General features: G+C 41.2%; 1 protein-coding gene across 2 annotated transcripts in view; it reads left to right on the top strand.

Annotated features, from left to right (window-relative positions):
• Positions 1-17141, top strand: part of TAF3 (TATA-box binding protein associated factor 3) — a 198127-nt gene extending 180986 nt beyond the window's left edge. For both annotated transcript variants that reach the window (NM_031923.4, XM_011519741.2), the window contains exons 5-7: positions 9588-9840; positions 14241-14347; positions 15147-17141. In NM_031923.4, the coding sequence (NP_114129.1) occupies positions 9588-9840; positions 14241-14347; positions 15147-15261 (475 nt within the window). In that variant the 3' untranslated portion in view covers positions 15262-17141. The remainder of the gene's footprint in view (positions 1-9587; positions 9841-14240; positions 14348-15146) is intronic.
• Positions 17142-21506: the final 4365 nt, after the last annotated feature.

Raw genomic sequence — 21506 nt, forward strand, 5'->3', positions numbered from 1 at the left:
TTGTTTCCCAGGCTGGAGTGCAAAGGTGTGATCTTGGCTCACTGCAACCTCCGCCTCCCAGGTTCAAGCAGTTCTCCCGCCCCAGCATCTCAAGTAGCTGGGATTATAAGTGGATACCACCATGCCCGGCTAATTTTTGTATTTTTAGGAGAACTGGGGTTTCACCATGTTGGCCAGGCTGGTCTCAAACTCCTGACCTCAGGCAGTCCTCCTGCCTTGGCCTGCCAAAGTGCTGGGATTACAGGCGTGAGCCACCGTGCCCAGCCCAAATGTATTACTTTATGTACGAAAATACCATCATTGTAGGAGGTTTTCTCTTCCCCCTCCTTTGACCCTGTCCTTGTTGGTCTGCTATGGATGATGCACTCAACTTAGACGCACTCGATTGTGCAGCTCCTTGATCTCACTCAGAGCTTTGAATTTCACAAAATCATAGTAGGACTAGACTATGGTCAACATTTGCCTGGAAGGCTTTTTAACCAAGCTATCATTTTTTCCCCAGTAAATTAATAAAGTGTAACATACACACAGAAAAGTGAATTAATTTTAAGTGTATAACTCAAGCCATCCTTAAAAATTCCTAGCAACAGTTTAGACGTATACATTGTAACAGGCATTTTCATCTTTTTCGTTGTTTTGCTTTGTTTTTTGTTTTTTGAGACGGGGTCTCACTTTGTTGCCCAGGCTAGAGTGCAGTGGCACTATCTCAGCTCACTCCTGGGTTCAAGCGATTCTCTAGCCTCAGCCTCCTGAGTAGCTAGGATTACAGGCATGCACCACCACGCCCAGCTAATTTTTGTATTTTTAGTAGAGACAGGGTTTCACTATGTTGGCCAGGCTGGTCTCGAACTCCCAACCTCAGGTGATCCGCCTGTGTTGGCCTCCCAAAGTGCTGGGATTACAAGTGTGAGCCACTGCACCCGGCCTTTTTCTTTTTTTTATGCAAGTTATGTTTGTTAATTATGGATAAATCAAAAGGAGAAAAAAGGCATCCACCCAGCACAGTGGCTTAATGCCTGCAATCTCAGCACTTTGGGAGGCCGAGATGGGAGGATCACTTGAGTCCAGGAGTTCCAGACCAGCCTGGGCAACATAGCAAAACCCCGTCTCTACACACAAAAAAATACGTATACAAAAAATTAGCCAGGCATGGTGGCACGCACCTGTAGTCCCAGCTACTCTGGAGGCTGAGGTGGGAGGATCAAATAAGCCTGGGAGGCAGAGGTTGCAGTGAGCCAAGATTGCACCAGCACACTTTAGCCTGGGCAGCAGAGTGAGACCCTGCCTCAAATAATAAATAAATAGATAAAACATCTATAATTTTCATGTAAAGGCAATTGCTGGACATTTTAGTATATATTCTTTCAAACTTTTTTCTAAGTATACACTCATACCTTCTTGTTTGCTTTTTTTATTTTCTTAGAAAAATTCCATCTTACACCTCCCTTTTTCTTGGATAGACATATCATTTGTGTGTGTGCACACATGTGTATCACCACTTCAGATAACAACATGGTGTTTGTTCATCATCTATGTAACCGATCTCCTATTCTAGGGTATTTTAAATTGCAGTTATTCTAGTTTTTATTTTTTTATTTTATTTTTTGCAGCCATAGACAGTGCTACAAATCATATTCTTTACCCCAGACCTTTACACAGCTGTCTAATGTTGCCTCAGGATACATTTCTAGAAGTGGAATTGCTGGTAAAGAGCTTGCACGTTTTTAAGTTTTCCATAATCATTCCAAATACTGGACCAACCATCTCTCCCTTTCCCCTAGCCTGACAGTACCAGGTGTTGTCAATCTTTTTCATCTTTACCAAAGAAGCCTTAGATTGTCATGTTTATATCTTTGATTACTATGAAAATGGAACATTTTTTTCTTGTCTAGTGGCTGGTTTTGGTTTTTTTATTCTATTTTCTACTTGCTGTTTCCTTTGCTCATGTTTGAATAAGAACATTAATTCTTTTTTATTCACAACAGCTGTTTATATAAGAAGGCGTAATGCTTTATTGTTGCAAGTAGTTTGCTTCACTTTGTCTTTTGCCTTTTAACTTTGCTGAGGTTATTTTATGCCATATAAAATTGTCGTGCAGTCAAATCAGCATTTCCCTTTATGGTTTCAGCTTTTGGTGAGATACTAGAAATTGTGTCCTACCCCAAGACTAAAAACATCTATATTTACTTACTTTTCTGGGAATTTTTATGGTTTTGTTTTCTTTTACCTAATTTTTAAGACGTTTAGAATTTATGGTTTGTGATACAGCTCCAATTTTGAGGGATTTTTTTAATTAACTATACCATCCAACAAGTCATAATTGAGCTAATTCTCAATTGCACATGCGTAATTATTGCATAGTAAAGCACATGAACATCTGAAAATTATTGTAGACAATAGCTTCAGTCTCTACCTCCAACAAACATTTTCCACTATAACAGCCGGCAAACAGTAAAGTTAAAACGAAGTGACAACCAAATTCTTTGCAAGCAGTTTTCTAAGGCCCCATCCGTCGATCCTGTGAATGGCTATTGTAAGATAGAAGATGTTTCCCTTGAATAACCTCCTCTTGTTGATAACTTACATTTTCAGGCTTATTTTTGCCTGCAGTCATATTTATTGATCACAACTCTCTTCTTCCTATCATCCTCTGTTCTCTCTCTTTCCTGCCCCTGAAATTAACTCCATTAACCAACAACTGAAAACGCCTGGGTTGTCCTCACACTTCCTGACCTAAAATTGTAATTCTTTCACTTGCTCTGTTTCTTCTCTTTTCTTTTTTTCTGTTTTCATTGATATCCCGTATTTCTCTCACCTGTGCTTTATCCCGTCGCACATCGTAAAGCATATTATTATGCTTTTTGGCGGGAGCTATAATTTTGAATGGATAGAAAAATACACTAAAAGTATCATGTCATCTGGAAAATTACTACTTTCTGGATCAGCTTTTGTTTCTTAGTTTGAATTCTAACACATTTTATTTTAATAACCATCATGTTAAAAGCTGAGGACATAGAAATTAGAAAGGCTTTTTGTTCCTTTGAGGAACTACTGATAGAGCAGGGGTAACAAATCTGTGTACAAACTATTCAAATTGTTTTTTAGCCTTAAGAAATTGGGTCAGTTTCTTTCATTGTTCAGTATATTTTAGAAAAGAATGAATATTCCGCACTGATTGAAGACAGATTTTTTTTAAATGTCCATAGAGTCAATTTCATTATTCTTATTCAAACCTATATCTTTGCTGGTTTTTTGACTGCTTATTCTGTCAGTTATGCAGGGAGATAAATATGCTTACATCTGTGGCTATGATTGCAGATTCATCTGTTTCTTACTGTTCTGTCAGTTTTTGCTTTATATGTTTTGCAGATGTTATTAGGTACATACAAATTTTAAACTGTTATAGCTTCCTGGCAAATTGGAACCTTTTATCATCAGGAAGTAGCCTTTATTATCACTGATGGTTCTTGCCTTAAAGTCTTTTTTGTGTGGTATTACTTTTCTTTGTATTTGTATACATCTTTTTATAGCCTCTCACTTTCAGCCCTTCTATTGCTAGATGTTCCTCTGGGCATTAGAATATATTGGGTTTCACTGTTTATACAGCCTGACAACTGAATCACTTAGACCTTTTATGTGATATAATCATTGATATTTTGAGTTTGAAATCTACCTTATTATTTTGTGCTACTTCTTTAGTGTTCAGTGGTTTTTTTTCTCTCTCTCTCTTTTCTTTTATCAGACCAAGGTTTTTTTTTTATCGTTCCTTTTTTCCTCATATTATACGTTGTTTGTAATTTTTGTGTGGTTACCCTAGAAATTACCATACTTTATTCACTACCTTTACACTACAGTTTATATAATAGAGGGACATTAAAATACTTTAGCTCTGTTTACCCATTACTGGCTTACATATCATTATGTTGTGTAATGAATTATGTAAACACTTGGAAGATCTTTATAAGTCAGTGAACCAGTATTTTCCAAATGACCAATGTATGACATTATAAAATTATGCATGGGTAAATTTTGTGTTCATAGTGCTAAACAGAGCAATAAATTTTAATGTAACAGAATATGAATGTCTGTTGATATGATTTCAGATTACACATTGCAACCAACTTATAAGAAACTATCATTTGTTGCATTTAATGCAGCATTAAAGAAGAACTTACACCATTATCCAAAAAATCTTTTAAAATACTCCTCCCTTCTCTAGTTACATATGCCTACATTAAAGAGATTTGCAAAAATTTAAAACATTGCCAGTCTTGGCCAGGCACAGTGGCATGCGCCTGTAATCCCAGCTATTAGGTAGGCTGAGGCAGGAGGATTGCTTGAGCCCAGGAGTTCAAGACCACCCTGGGCAACAGAGCAAGACGCCATTATCAAAGAAAAAACAACCAAAACATTGCCAGTCATTACCAAGTTTTTTGTCTTGGAAAATATAGTTATTTTCATAAAAAAAAATGTTATCTGTTAACATATAATGGGTTCATTGTCGTTACTTTTAAATGAATTACTAAATATTTTTAAACTTTTCAGTTTTATTTTTATTTTATTTTATTTATTTTTTTTGAGACCGATTCTTGCTCTGTCACCCAGGCTGGAGTGCAGTGGCATGATCACGGCCCACTGCAACCTCTGCCTCCCAGGTTTGAGTGATTCTCCTGCCTCCTCCTCTGGAGTAGCTGGGATTACAGGTCTGCGCCATCACACCCAGCTAATTTTTGTATTTTTAATAGAAATGGGGTTTCACCATGTTGGCCATGGTGAATCACTCCTGGCCTCAAGCGATCCACCCACCTCGGCCTCCCAAAGTGCTGGGATTACGGGCATGAGCCAATGTGCCTGGTCCAGTTTTATTTTTAATATGGTAAATATTGACAGATATAGTGCACATTTTTTAAGTTCTTAATAATTTTTAGGAATTTAAAGGGGCCCTAGGACGAAAAATTTGAGAATTGTTGCTTTAGAATTTTTTTTTTTAAATGTGCTGGTGGCAAATTCTTAGCTTTTGCCTGCCTGTAAATGTTTTTGTTTCATCTTTATTCCTTAAAGATGTTTTCAAAGACATAATTTATTTTTCTTTAGCACATTGAAGATGTTATTCCACTATCTTCTAGATTTCATCATTGCTAATTAAGAAGTCAGCTGTCACCTGTTTCTTCTTTGAGAGGAATTGTTCTTTTTTCCCTCTAGCTGCCTTTCAGATTTTTCCTCTCTATCTATGATATTTTATAGCTTCACTTTGATGTGCCTAGATATAGATTTATTTTTATTTATCTTGCCTAGGGTGTGTTGGGCTTCATAAATCTGTGGATTGGTATCTTTCGTCAGTTCTGTAAAAGTCTCAGGTACTCTTTGTTAACATTCGTCTCTGCCCCATTTTTCTTCTAGAATTATGATCAAACATGCACTAATTAGACCTTTTATTGTATTCTCTTTGCTTCTTAGGCTATGCTCTGAAAATTTATTTTGTCCTAATACTCAGTTTATAGTTCTGTCTTGTTTCCAATCTGTTGTTAAATCCCTCCTTTCAATTTTAAATCTCAGTTACTGTATTTTTTAATTTCTAGAAGGTCTGTTTGGTTCTTTTCAAATCCACTAGATCAAGTCACTCTCTGTGACTTCCTACGACCTATATTTCTAGCCTTTGCCTTTTATTATTTTTTTAACATTGTAAGCAAAGTTGTTTTATAGTTGATAATTCTTGTATCTGTGGTCTTTGTCTCTTCATACTAGCTGTTATTTCTTAACAGTTTTCCCTGATCCCACCTTACTTCCTCATAGATTTGATTATCTTTGATTATGTGCTGCTTATTTTTTTTAAAGATAATTATCTGTATTAATATGAGACCTAGATTTTAAGATACTTCCCCTCAGGATTGTGCTGTGTGCCTGGGCACATTGCAAGTCCAAATTACTTTAAAGTATCCTAGAACACCAGAGGTGAAAATTCATGCCATTCTCGTGCATCTTTACCTTATGGGTATAGCCCATTGGGAATCCTTAGTGTCGGGAGGGAGTTCTATTACACCTTCCACTTCGGGCAGATCCTGGGCTTTGACATTCGTCCTCTTCATCATAACCAAATATCAGACTTGCCTAATGCGTAAATGCCCTTGGGGTAAAGCATCTGTGTTCTGCTTACCTCTCAGGGTTCCTGCTTTTCCCTTTAGCTTTGGTTCCATCACTTGTGTGTTCAACCAGTATGGGAAACTGCCTCTAGAAGCAGTGTTTTAAAATTTTAGTCTAACCATAAAAATAGAGAATGCTTACCCTCTGGATATAAATGCCATAGCGATAACTTTGAACTCCTACATTACATGCCTTTTATGTAAGGCAAACCTCAGTACACATTGAGAGACAGTGTCATATACTTATTAAGATCACAGGCTCTAAAATCAGACTGCCTTGTTTAAATCCTGGCCCTGCCATGTAGTAGTAACCTGTGTTAATTTATGCAAGATACGTAATCTCTCTGTGCCTTGGTTTCTTCGTTTAAAAAGCAGAATAATAGCTTGCCTCATGTGGTCATTATGAAAAACAAACAAGGCCGGGCACCGTGGCTTACGCCTGTAATCTCAGCACTTTGGGAGGCTGAGGTGGGCAGATGACCTGAAGTCGGGAGTTTGAGACCAGCCTGCCCAACATGGAGAAACCCCGTCTCTACTGAAAAAAAAAATACACACACACACACACACACACACACACACACACACACACACACAAATTAGCTGGGCGTGGTGGTGCATGCCTGTAATCCCAGCTACTTGGGAGGCTAAGGCGGGAGAATCACTTGAACCCAGGAGGCGGAGGTTGCAGTGAGTCAAGACTGCGCCATTACACTCCAGCCTAGGCAACAAGAGTGAAACTCCATCTCAAAAAAAAAAAACCTAGATAAGGCAAGGCAAGTAAATATTTAACACAGTGGTGCCTGGCCCACAATTGGCTTTCAAGTGCTTAGGACAGTCAGACATATAGAAAGTGCTCAATAAATATTCATCGGTTATGATGTTAAGCATTTATGAAGTGTCTGCTGCACCAACAAGCCTGTGCTAAAGTCTCTTGATCTTTGGCTGTATCCAAGTTAGGAAGATGATCACCCTTGCAGGAAACAAATAGAGAACAATTCGACAGCAGTAATGAAGTTACTTGCTGAAATAATGGTGAAGTTTTTGAAGTAACTTAATGTTTTATGAATTTATGATCAGAATAGCAAAGAGTCAGTGCCTTTTGGTGAAAGTGGTTTCTAAACTAGGACTATGAGGAAGTGGAACCGTGAAGGCTGGCAGCAATGAGGCCAGAGGCTGTCGTGAGCAACAGCCGTGAACATGGCACGGGGCCGGCAGTTCCCATCTGGATGCAGTTTTTGAAGTGTTTCTCCACATTGAGGTTCTCACTACAACCCTCTGAGGCCACTGCATTTCTTTTCACTTTGTTGCTGAGAAAAACAAGGCCTAAAGAATTGTGTGGAATAGTAGAAAGAGACAAGCTGGGACAGTCCACAGGCTGGCAATTCCTGGTGAGGTGAGGATGGCCATATTCCATGGCCCAGAAACTTCATTTCTAGGGATGGGGCTTGGAGAAGTCCTTGAACAGTTCTATTTATGAGTCAGTGTGTAAGTTTACAAGTGAATGTCTCCTACTTTCAGTAGGATGATGGACAAAAACCTTTGGCTTACTAATACCATGGAATACAATATAGTAATTAGAATAAATAATATAGATCTCTATGTGTCAGCATGGATAAATCAGGAGACATAAAACTAAGTGGGAAAAGCTAGTTGCAGAGGACAACTGGAGTGTGACATTGTGTGTATAAAAGTTAAAAGACAGCAAACAGTAATGCAGTATGTATTGTTTATGGACACCTACAAAGGCAGGAAAGGTACAGAGAAAAAAACAAAGTACCAAGAACAATAAACAAAAACATACCTGTCTTAGGGCAGTGGTTGCTCTGGGGCAGGGAAGGAAGTTCATCTGAAACAAATATGGCAAAGGCTAACATATTTTATCTCTGATTATTACCTAACTGTCTGTTATATTGTTTTCTCTGTGTGTGAAATTATATATATATATATATATATATATATATATATATATATATATATATACCTTTTTTTTTTAATAAAGAAGCTTAAAAACAAGCTTTGGAATCAAGTAGACTTTGGTTCAAAAGCTGCCACCCGTTTACTCAAATTCCTTTCTCTTGCTGATCTTCAGTTTCCTCATCTACAAAATGGGGTAATCATTACTTCTTTGATGTTCTCATAAGGACTGGATGAGATGATGTTTGTAAAGTGCCTAGTATAACCTCTAACTTCTTATAGGTCCTCAATAAATAGTGCTTTTTATAATAAATTGAGTAATCCAAGGCCACAGGTCTAGTCTCTGGCGGCTGTAGAATTTGAACTCAGATGTCCTGGCCCCAAGTCCAGAGCTGCTTCCACTGGCGAGAGTTGTGTGAAGAGGATGCTGTTAGTGGAGGAGCAGGGTCACAGTACCACAGCTCTAGCGACCTGCGGCAGCATCACCAGGACAGAAGCTGCCGCTGCATTACCTCCTCCTTACCTCTGCAGCCCGTCTGGGAACAATCTTTTTTTTTTTTTTTTTTTTTTGAGACGAAGTCTCACTCTGTAGCCCAAGCTAGAGTGCAGTGGCGAGATCTCGGCTCACTGTAACCTCTGCCTCCTGGGTTCAAGCGATTCTCCTGCCTCAGCCTCCTGAGTAGCTGGAATTACAGGTGCACGCCACTGCACCCGGCTAATTTTTTGTATTTTTTAGTAGAGACGGTGTTTCACCATGTTGGCCAGGCTGGTCTTGAACTCTCGACCTCAGGTAATCCACCCACCTCGGCCTCCCAGAGTGCTAGGATTACAGGGGTGAGCCACCTTGCCCAGCCTGAACGGTCAATCTTTAAAACCTGGCAATCAAAGCCAAACCCAGAAGTGAGAAAGTCTTCACAGTTTTATTGACAATGGCATTGAGAGTATTAAGAAGAAACATTGGAATTAAGAAGAGAGAAATAGAAACTTTTTCTTTTTAAGCTGCTCTGTCCAGCAGCTTAGGCCAGGTTAGGTTTATGGTAATTAACAACCCAAAAATCTCAAGGGCTTCCAACAGCAAATGTGTCTTTCTTGCCCATCTCCAGTGTGGAGCACAGGCTGCTCCAGGTCCTCTCCAGCTGGAGCCACAGTGGAAGGAGCAGCCCCTGTCAGGCCCCCCCGAGGACTCAGCAGAGGTGGGGGTGGGGAGCGCCACCTCTGAAGCCGTCAGAGCTTCTGCCCCAGCACAGGAACAGGCAATTGAAGTCATATTTCTGTGAACAATGCATGTGTATTGGTTGCTAGAAATTTCTAACTGTCTGGCCATTGAGGGGAAGTTTGGAAAATGAAAAATTCGTCTGAGTAAGTGGAGAGGCCACTTCATGCAGGGCCTGGAACTCAGTTCTTGAGCTGCCTCTAGACGTTGAAGTATTTCGCTACTGGAAGAAAAGCTATTTTACGATCATGTTTTTAAGCACGGGTTTGGTTCGATGATGATCCTGTTTTGACTTTTACCTTCTCTTCTTTTGTTGACAGTGTCATCAGCAAGGTGGTCCCTGCCCCCGAGGCCAAGCCGGCGCCCTCGCAGAACAGGCCGAAGACCCCACCGCCGGCCCCCGCGCCCGCCCCCGGCCCCATGCTCGTCAGCCCTGCGCCCGTGCCGCTGCCGCTGCTCGCCCAGGCCGCCGCGGGCCCTGCCCTGCTGCCCTCCCCGGGTCCCGCCGCCTCCGGGGCCAGTGCCAAAGCCCCCGTGCGCAGCGTGGTGACTGAGACGGTCAGCACCTACGTGGTGCGTACCTGCCGCCCGCGCGGTTAGCATGGAGACGTTTTCAGATCGAGACAAGTGTGTGCTCTGAATCACTATCGAATTTCAGACGCATTTCTCTTCAAAATTTTATTATTTACTTAATTATTTTTGAGACAGGGTCTCCCTGTGTGGCTCAGGCTGGAGTACAGTGGCCCAATCATAGCTCACTGCAACCTCAAACTCCTGGGCCCAAGCGATCCTCCTGCATTAGCTTCTCAAAGTGGTGGGGTTACAGGCCTGAGCCACTGCCCCTGGCCAGACACGTTTCTTTTTTTTTCTTTTTTTTTTTTGAGACAGAGTTTCGCTCTTATTGCCCAACCTGGAATGCGGTGGTGAGATCTCAGCTCACTGCAACCTCCACCTCCCAGGTTCAAGCGATTCTCCTGCCTCAGCCTCCTGAGTAGCTGGGATTACAGGCACGTGCCACCACACCTGGCCAATTTTTTGTATTTTTAGTAGAAACGGTTTCACCGTGTTAGCCAGGCTGGTCTCAAACTCCTGACCTAAGGTGATCCACCCGCCTCGGCCTCCCAAAGTGTGGGATTACAGGCATGAGCCACCGTGCCCGGCTTTTTTTTTTTGAAAGGGGATTTCACTCTGTCACCGAGGCTGGAGTGCAGTGGTACGATCTCGGCTCACTGCAGCCCCTGCCTCCCAGGCTCAAGCGATCCTCCCACCTCTTGAGTAGCTGGGATCACAGGCAGTCACCACCACTCTCGATTAGTTTTTTGTATTTTTGGTGGAGACAGGGTTTCACTATGTTGCCCAGGCTGGTCTTGAGCTCCTGAGCTCCAGCAATCCACCCATTTCTGCCTCCCAACGTGCTGAGATGACAGGCATGAACAACCATGCCCAGCCAAGATGCATTTCTTCATTGCAGTTTTTCACTGCATTTTCAAGCTTTTGGCTGAAAAGTTACATCACAATGTTCACATAGTCAGCCTCCATAAATCATATCAAAGCTTGTTTTTATATTGTTTTGGGATATGACTATATGCATATATACAGTAATATCAATCTGTAAATGTAGAGACGCATGGTGGTACTGAAATCTCACATTGAATTTCTTGATCAAGCAATTCAGTTATTCACTTAAGAGTATAATTTATAGAATGTACACTGATATTATGAGCCAGGTAGTGTTTCTGAATAATAGCACTAATTATATTTTATTGGCTATGATCCAGAATATGCCAGGGCTTGCATATTAAATGGAAATGAACTTTGAGACCACAGAACTCCTGAGTATCCAAGCATGATTTCAAATTGTAAAACCAGCTGGACGCAGTGGCTTACGCCTGTAATCCCAGCACTTTGGGAGGCTGAGGCAGATGGATCACTTGAGGTCAGGAGTTCGAGACCAGCCTGGCCAACATGGTGAAACCCCATCTCTACTAAAAATACAAACAAAATTAGCTGGGCATGGTGGCACGTGCCTGTAATCCCAGCTACTCGGGAGGCTCAGGCACAAGAATTGCTTGAACGGGAGGCAGAGCTTGCAGTGAGCCAAGATCGTACCACTGCTCTCTAGCCTGAGGGACAAGAGCGAAACTCCATCTCAAGAAAAAAAAAAATTGTAAATCCCACCATGTCCACTGAGTCCACATTGTTCTGGGACTGTTTTTTAGTTTCTTACTCCCTGAATACACTCTGGCAGTAAAGTGTTTATACAGATTACGTTCTTTGGATACTATAGAATTAAACACACAAACACACAACGAAATATTTAAGGTGTGTGGAGCCATTGCCATTGCTGTGACTACCAACTCTGCAGACTGTGATGTGTTAGCCTACTGGTGGCCCTGACCTTGTAACTAGCTAGGTACTAATATGATTGGAAAGTGGCTGGGTAGGACTCATGGTATTTGTTGTTATAAACTGTACAATATTACATTTCTTTTTTTTATGTTTTCTTTTTTTCTTTTGAGGTAGTCTCACTCTTCTTGTCCATACTGGAATGCAGTGGCACAATACCACTCACTGCAGCCTCGACCTCCTGGGCCCCAGTGATCCCCTCACCTCAGCCTCCCGAGTAGCTGGGACCACAGGCGTCTGCCACCACAACTGGCTGTTTCTTGGCTGTTTTTGTTTGTTTGTTTTTGGTTTTTGTGGAGATGATGTCTCTCTGTGTTGCCCAGGCTGGTCTCAAACTCCTGGGCTCAAGCAGTCCTTCCACCTTGGCCTCCCAAAGTGCTGGGATTACAGGCATGAGCAACCACGCCTGGCCTATTATTAAATTTCCTTAAAGGAGTTTTGGAAGGAACTTCTAAAAGTGTGATCATCAAATTGGTCCATTCGGGGACCAATCATTGTAGGTGTTTAATTAGAGGCAACATCACCCCCAAATGGGTTGATCAGGAAAGATTTTGTACTTAACCTCCTTGACCTTCGTGTCTTCATCTGTAATTAAGGAGTTTGTGTTAAACTTGGTAATCTCTGTGGCATGTTCTAGCTCTAAAAGTTCTGGTTTTCCAGTAGATCTTTGAGCTAACTCACTTCCTGGAGATGAGTCCAACTGGAATAGACAATGTAGATGGAAAGCTTACTGGCTGTGCATGGTGTCTCACGCCTATAATCCCAGCACTTTGGGAGGCCAAGGCAGCTGTATCACATGAGCCCAGGAGTTGAGACTAGTCTGGGCAACATAGTGAGACCCCATCTCTGCAGAAAATACAAAAATTGGCTGGGCAGGGTGACATGTGCCTGTAGTCTCAACTACTCAGGAGGCTGAGCTGGGAAGATCACCTGAGCCTACCGAGGTCAAGGCTACAGTGAGCCATGATCACACCACTGCACTCCAGCCTGGGTGACAGAGTGAAACCCTGTCTTTAAAATAAAAATGAAAATTTAAAAAAAGCTTTCTACCTCATGAAGAGAGACGCTTTGTGGTTAGAGGACAAAATTTATGATTTAGATGACATACAAAGGCTAGAGAGCAAAAAGGCAAATTTTGTCACTGCCTAATGGTGTGATGTTGGAAATGCCACTTAAATTCCCTTAGCTCCGGTTTCCCCATTCATAAGCTACCCAGAGGTTGTTTTACAGGGATTAAATGAAATGAGATGTTTAGAAGAATTTAGTAAGCTATGAGGTATTTGGTATTAGTTGCTGTGGATGCCGTGGTGAAGTTCTTGTGCGGCACACAGAGTCACGGCCTTCTGACTTCAAGCAAGGTCAGCCAGCAGCAGGACTGGCCACACGTGGGAGCTTCAGGGCATAGGATGTTCCACCAGCCTTGGCCTCTAGACAGCAGGTACGGGTGACTGCTGGTTCTCACCCCTTGTTACTTTTTCTCCTGGAATTACGGAGGGTCAGAGATGTAGTTGCCCACAGATTTCTTTAGGAAGTTTTCCTGTCAATGTAGTTTGCCTTTGTAGAGTTGCCTTAAAGGAAGCCCATCACTACAGTGAAACATATATGGACCCCCAATGCACCTGTCACACACAAAGAAAGCCTTTCTAAAAGCATGTCTAGTCAGTGTGGTATTTGAAAGTCTGGGAAGAACTATCCCTTACAAAATAAACCGGATGCAATAATGTGCTCTGTTATTGTAAACACTTTGGAAGTTACCTTTTTCTTATTGCTGGTGTTGAATGCCCATCAGTGAATTAATTCTTCCAGGTTGGCTCTGTTCATGTGAAGTTTGAGGAAGTGGTGAATAGGATGTTCCCTCTTTAGAACTGCTAAGTTAAATAAAGTCAACTCTAGAGTACACAATATTTGTAGCAAAATAATGTTGAACCTTGTAGCTCTGTGGCCTCCCTATCCCCTTATTTCATTTGCCCTTTAGTTGATTGTACTTTACTAAAAATGTCATAAAGGGAATGGAAAGTTACTTAGTAACAACTCTTTTATATCCTTGATCTTATCAGCTCCTTCAGGAGAAGGGCTTGGCTAATAAGTAATAAGGTGGTGCATGCACATTTGGCTGTCTATATTAATTCCATGCCTATGAATGCGATTGAGAAAACCACATATAAAGTGGAGCTCTATAACTTTCAAAAAATCAGTTGTTACCACCCTTATAAAGACCCAAATCATTAAGAATTTACATAGTTATAGTTTTTTTTTTTATGAAAGGGGTTACAGGTCATATTGTTCACAGAGATGATTATAAAATGCTTTTTATGACTTACAAAAGAAAGCTTAGAATATTCGTTAGAAATGCCTTATCATTGAACACTTAGCGTTTTTCTGTTTCTTGATTCTAAAACAGTGATGACGCTGATCATGGCATTAATGAAGTGCTGATCTACTATATTTTTTAGTTTAATATGCCTGTTTATTCGGTTAACAGTATAAAGTAATCATTCTGATCTGGCCTCTTTTTGTTTTTTTTCCCATTCCCTCCATTTTTGCCGCTTCCGCTTTGCAAACATCAGATCCGAGATGAGTGGGGCAATCAGATCTGGATCTGCCCTGGGTGTAACAAGCCTGACGATGGGAGTCCCATGATTGGGTGTGACGACTGCGATGACTGGTACCACTGGTGAGTGCCCAGGGCGCCCTGCCGGCCACACTCATTAGGCAGCATCAGCCGCTCCTGAGATGAAGCATCCACTGAGTAGATTCCTGCCTTTGGACTGACCCAGGGCTGTCCTAGGGACAGTACATGGAGTCAAATCACTGAGCCTGTGAAGTGCAATTAACTGCAAAACCCAAGAGTGCTTAGACTATTGTTATTCACCCTAAATTCTGAATATTCTGCTTAGCTTATCTATCCTTCTTATTAAAAATAATAATACTAAAAGGAGATCCAGGGGCTTCCCTGGCCTTCCTTTCCAGTAATGTTCTGTAGGAGCTGTAGCACTGGCCAGGACCACGAAGAGGCAGCGCCTTTGTAAAGGTGGTACAAACTGCAGGACTAAAGACTGCTTATCTGTTTTTTAGACCTCTTCAGCGGTTCCTAAAAACTGAAAAGCTCAACCAGAATTTATGCAGATAATCTCGTGTTATCTTTAAAATGTCAGATACAAAAAAGATAGCAACCTGTTCAGTTATGATAGACGATATCTGTGAGATAAAGACAAAGCCGTGGCTCGGAAGACTTCTATTCCTGGCTGAGAGGATGAATGAACGGATGAGTCTCTGCAGGGGGCCTGTAAAGGGAGCATCTGTGATCTCATAGTCCGCATGCCCAACAATAGTGCTACACACAAGTTAGTGCTGCTTGACTTTGATTTCGGGTAAACATGTCATAGACTCTAAAAAATTACTTTAAAACATGGAAGGGAGAAGAATAGATGTCTGTATAAAAGTTGCTTATCTGAGCTTGTTTTCACGTGCAGGCCCTGTGTTGGAATCATGACTGCACCCCCAGAAGAGATGCAGTGGTTCTGCCCCAAGTGTGCGAACAAGAAGAAGGACAAAAAGCACAAGAAGAGGAAGCATCGAGCCCACTGACGACTCCCGAGGGGCTGGACCAAGCGGGGTCAGCCCGGGCTTCTTCCCTGGCGCCTCTGGAAGGGAGCTGGTGCAAGTCTGCCGTCACATCCACCCCCAGATGCCTGTGGATAAAGAACCCAGGAGGACTGAGGCTGGAACACACCGCGCACCTGGATTGTTCACTCCCGAGCCGCCTTGGCCTGTGGCTCCGTGGCAGTGCGACAGAAGGAAACTCAAGCAGAGGCGTGGCCTGGGGGCTGCCCCTCCTCCACTTCTCTAATACCAGTGACAAGTATTATTAATAAAGAGCGTACATCTTCCCTTTTGATTTCCTTTATTCTCTCCAGGGCCTTTTCATTGAGGTATTAGATGAGAAGATAATGTACAAACTGCCTCAACTGTAATTTAAGGATGATAGAGTCTGTATACAGTTTTCAGCCCCTTTCCCTCTATAGTAAGATAATCAGAATAACATAAAAGAAAACTCCAGTTGGAGTACCGGTAAATATTTTTGTGATAAGAATATATGAAGCTTCCCTCCTTCCCCCGTTTTTAGTACTAACATGTAAAATGTTCAGGCTTTTGTGAAATACCTTATATTTTTTAAGAAAAAGGTTTCTATCATGTCCTGTTTGCTTTTGTGCAAATTATTTTTGTTTAATGTATTTTATATCTTCGTTGCATTCTAATTTTGCCCTTCTTTAAACTGCTGGAGTCTCTTCTCACTGCTTGTACATTTCATCAACTTGTATAAAAACTCTTCAGACTAAAAGATTGCCCCTAATGTAAATAATAAATATTTATGAAGTAGTTATTTTTTAAATTTTTATCGTGTTTAATTCTGGCTTTCTCTGAAATCCACTGTGATTTCAGCCAGGTCTGTAATGACGCTGGACAGAAACAAGGCTAGAGAAAAAGCCATCGTTCAAAGAAATTTCCCTTGAGCTCAGCCTGCGCAGTGCCCGGAAACATGGTGGGGAAAGGGCCCGAGCAGTTGGAAGGAAAACAAGGCAATTTAAATTTAGAGTTTATGACTTGAAGTTGTTTTGTTTGTTGTCTATTTTGTTTTTGTAAATTTCTTTGACAGACTTTTACTAAAAGGACATGTAGTTTCCATGAAAGTAAAAAAAAAAAACAACAAAAAACCCACATATACTGTAGCATTTTGTCTTTATATTGTTTTATTTCTACAAATCTGTTCATTAATATTGTGCTTTAAGGCTGAAATGAAGTATATTATGAATTTTTTTAAGAAAACTCATCAAATTTCAGGGTATCACAAAACTTTATTATATTATTATACTGCCCACTATTTATTATATGTTATAGATGTCTGAGAGGTAAACCAAATATTTTATTTTTAATGTTAAAAAAACATCAAATTTAACTTTATTAGCATATTTTAGCAACTTTGGGATAAATACGGACTTTTACTTGATTTTGAAATAATCCCAGTGTAGGCCCATGTGCTGGATCTGTTGGATGCTAGAATATGGGCTTTGAACCTAATACAAATATATTACTAGAAAATGTGATTTTTTTAAATGCCAAGTAAATTGATATTAGTGTATGAATTAGTCATATTTTAAAACATTATGTGGTTAGAGAAATGCGGTTTTCTGCCATGAATGTTAAGTTGCAAATCAGTGGAAATGGAGTCGACCTCTTCGGAGCACAGGGTGTCATTGCCCTCGTTGTTCAAGAGGCCAGAATTTTTCTATCCCCGCTAAGAAACAAAGCATCTATGTTGAGATATGTGTTTTTTTGTTTGATTAATTTGAGATCATTCTAAATACTTTATACAATATTTTCACATGCACAAAAATGCGCGTTAGTGGTTTTTGGAGAGGGGTGAGGGGTGGGGGAAGTGCAAAATAAAGATTATTGGCTATTTCATAGTTTGCTTTTCCATTTTCTTTATTTAGGATTTAGTTCCTTGAGGCGTGGTCCATGATCTGAAGTTGCCACGTTTAAGTGAGCAGGTCACGCTACTGAAATCAGAATGGAGGTGCCTATATATAACTTTCCCCCCAATCTTACTGTCTGAGAGACTTCAGCCCATGCTACATTTAAGGAATTTCAATCAGTTTGTTGTCCCTTGCTATTTCATGGTTGCTTTCCTAAATCCAGTTCATGATTTTATAAATGGTCTTTGCAATAATAAAACCAAAGAATCATTTTCAGGGGGCTGGAGAGCTCGAGGGATTAGTAATGGAATACAGAGCCTTTCACCTCTAGGTCAGTGAGTCGGATCCAGTCCAGGTCACTAGAGACCAAAAGTTGTCACCATCTTATGACTGTTCAGTGGCCTGTGTGAAATGAACTGGTGGTCTCAGTCTCTACTGGGTGGCTGGCTGTGACACCAACCAAAGGAAGTTCAAGAAACTGCAAAGAGAAATGTGGATTAGAAAATAAAACATCCACATTACAAAGAAAAAGTTAGAAAGTTGGGCGTAGTCATTCTCCAGAAAGTAATACCGAAGAAAAAAGAGCAACTTACAAATACCACAGACAAACAGAGATTAATTTACTTTCCTTAATGAAGTCAAGCAAAACCGGAAAAGAAAAGCCTATATTGGGTGAGAGGGGAGAGGGTTAAGTGGGGAGGATGATTTGATCAGAAGAAAAAGTTCAGGGACCCAAACATCAGGGAAAAATGGGTTTTGACTTTTGAGGGAGAAGGAAATCGCAACAGCAGCAATTTGAGGAACTACTGTAGCAGAATTCGACACAAAGGAATGAGAAGTATTTCCCTTTAGAGGGCTTGCAGTGTTCCAGTTGGAAGCAAAACCCTGACCGGCTTTCATTTAGCCCAGCACTGTCATTTGAATAGCATCAATACTTTATTAAGAGAAGTAATGCGGGGGGGGCGGGGATTGTCCTGACTAGTGATTTTATTGAGGGAGATGGTATTTGAGAAACAGACCCTCACCTCATGAAACCGAGACGCTCTTCTGGTGTGATGATCTGCCGTCAGAGCCAGATGGAACTGGCAGAGCTTAATTTCTGTGGCTGACAAGGTGTTTCTCTTCCAAAGGTGTCTACAGTGAGGCACAGTGAGGATCTTTATCCCCTGACTGATTTGTGGTTCCAAATGTCCTGGAGAAAACCAGAGGCTATCAGAGTCTTCTGACTTTGTCGGGCTTTTTTCAGAGATAAAATATAGTGCATTACTCTCCTGTATCACCTAAACCGCCTTTGTTCTCCTTTCAATGGGATGATTAAACAAAGACCTACTAACCAAATTAAAGTATAAAATGAACACTGAGATATGGAAACCTTGCCACTAAGAATGCTAATGAAAAAAGTTCACTAAAGCCACGCTGGCTATGTTTTCAATACAAATAGTTTTATGGCCAATCTCTTTAGATCATAGCAGTTTTCTTTAGAAGTGTAAGTCTAAAAGTAGATGAGTTACCTTGACGGAAGAATGAAACAGATAATGTCCTGAATAATGTCTCTTTCCACAATGGTATCAGTCATTCTGTTAGGAAACTATTTCTTTGAGAATCTTGCGTTCGCTGCAGCCTAAAAAGTATAAAGTAACTATTAATCCATGTGTGCAGGCGAGTAGATGACATCGAAATGAGATATTTAGGTGGACAGCTTGTTCATTTAATCTACATATGAGTTATTAAAATGGCTAGTGGTTATTTTTTTCGTTCTGGGCAACTCAGTTTTAAATTTAGTTTGAAGAACATTGTTACATGGTTTCATTCATTTCGTCCACATTTGCTACGCACGTTTTTTGGAAATGGCAATGATGTATCAGAACCAAGTTCATTTCCAGTTGCCTGGTTTCTGAGCTGCTCTAGCCCTTCCGCTGGCTCCATGATTTTGGAATTGTTCCCAAAGTATACTATGTATTAAAGTGTATTGCATGAAATTCTAAGCGTATTCCATATTACTCTTGTCCCATTTTTCCATACATCATCTTTCTATCCACCTTAGACTGCAACTATTTTTTAATGTTACTAGAGCTTCATGCTTTTAAATTTTACATGCATAACAAAATAAGAGCTTACCAAATGTTTGCATTAACTATCCTAGGAATTAGCAGAGTAGACATGACGTGAGAAAATATATGTAGATAGATACATGTACCACACAGTTTTTGTTGGGCTTTCAGAACAGAAGTTCATTTTAGGTACATAGCCCTAAGCAACCATTTCCTACCATATCCTTAGAACCTAGTCAGTATTTTCACCTTTTGAAGTTTCGTGGGTTTTTTTTTTTTTTTTGGGGGGGGGGGGGGTTTGGTCTTGTTTTTGATTAATGAAATGTTCAGAATAGGACTATCTTTTTTTAAAAAAAAAAAAACACAAACCTGAAGAATGTCATTGTTATTATCCTTAATGAGTTAACTATTGCCAAGTTAAATGGTTTGAAGAAAATGTTTGTTCTCATCTGGTTAACTCATTTAGAGCATCAGAAGTACTTACCAGAGGAAGTTCAAATCATCCAAAAACATTATCAAGTTATATTCTGATTATTTCTTATTATACTGTTTGGGATGTGGATTAAATTTTTTCTGCTAGCTTTTAGAAAGTGAATATTTATTTATTTATTTATTTATGAGACAGGGTCTTACTTTGTCACCCAGGCTGGAATGCAGTGGTGTAATCACAGTGGCCTCGACCTCCTGAGCAGCTGGGACCAAAGGCATGTGCCACATGTCTTGCTAATTTTTTATTTTTTTGTAGAGACAGGATTGCCCAGATTCGTGTTGAACTCCTAGGCTCAAGTGATCCTCCTGCCTCCACCCAAAGTACTGGGATTATAGGCACGAGCCACTGCACCAGGCCAAAAAGTGAATTTTCTTTTTTCTTTGGAGACAGGGTCTCCCTCTGTCGCCCAGGCTGGATCGAAGTCAGTGGCACGATCTCGGCTAACTGCAACCTCCGTCTTCTGGGTTCAAGTGATTCTCCTGCCTCAGCCTCCCCAGTAGCTGGGACTACAGGCACCTGCCACCACACCTGGCTAATTTTTTGTGTTTTAGTAGAGATGAGGTTTCACCATGTTGTCCAGGGTGGTCTCGAACTCCTGAGCTCAGGCAATCCGCCCGCCTCAGCCTCCCAAAGTGCTGGGATTACAGACGTGCACCACTGCGCCCAGCCAAAAAGTGAATTATTTACAGCTGATTTCTTGATAGCCAATTCCTAATTTTCCTTCATTTTATTTATTTTGACATTGTTATTTACAACATTCACAAAAACAAATATTAGGCCCAGGATGTCCCACACTCAGCCATATTCATACATTTCTTTTTTTTTTTTTTTTTTTTTTAATTTTTCAGACAGAGTCTCATTCTTCACCCAGGCTGGAGTGCAGTGGCACGATCTCGGCTCACTGCAAGCTCCACCTCCCGGGTTCACGTCATTCTCCTGCCTCAGCCTCCTGAGTAGCTGGGACTACAGGTGCCCGCCACCACGCCCGGCTAATTTTTTGTATTTTTAGGAGAGACGGGGTTTCACCGTGTTAGCCAGGATGGTCTCGATCTCCTGACCTTGTGATCCGCCCGCCTCGGCCTCCCAAAGTGGGGGATTACAGGCGTGAGCCACCGCGCCTGGCCCACATTCATACATTTCTCTAAAAAATGTTCATCAGACATTGCTCTGAGCAAGACACATTGTGCACTGTGGGAATACAGCGGTGGAGGAGACAGCGTGCCCCAGGGCTGCAGAGAGCCGTCACAGGCTACGTACCCAAAGGCAGGACACACCTCAGAAGTGGGTGCAAACCAGAAGTGCCATTGAAAGGTGATTGTTTCTCCCTTCAGTTTGACCAGTGTTCAGCTGTAGGTCAATGAGACTAAGGAGATAGCACAAAATGTAAAGCAACATTAAACATAAGGATACATAGGATTCCGGCTGGGCGCGGTAGCTCACGCCTGTAATCCCAGCACTTTGGGAAGCTGAGGCAGGTGGATCACCTGAGGTCAGGAGTTCAAGATCAGCCTGACCAACATGGTGAAACCCCATCTCTACTAAAAATACAAAAATTAGCCAGGCATGGTGGCGGGCGCCTGTAGTCCCAGCTACTTGGGAGGCTGAGGCAGGAGAATCCCTTGAACCCAGGAGGTGGAAGTTGCAGTGAGCTGAGATTGTGCCACTGCACTCCAGCCTGGGCAACAAGAGTGAAACTCCATCTCTAGAATAAAAAGAATACCTAGGATTCCCTGTATAGAAAGTTTTTAAAGAGACTGAACCACACTGTCTTGTTTAGGGATGCGTGCAAAGATGGGAAAGCAAGAGTTCCTAATA

The sequence above is a fragment of the Homo sapiens genome, chromosome 10, assembly GCF_000001405.40.
Source record: "Homo sapiens chromosome 10, GRCh38.p14 Primary Assembly".
In the NCBI taxonomy this organism is placed as follows: Eukaryota; Metazoa; Chordata; class Mammalia; order Primates; family Hominidae; genus Homo; species Homo sapiens.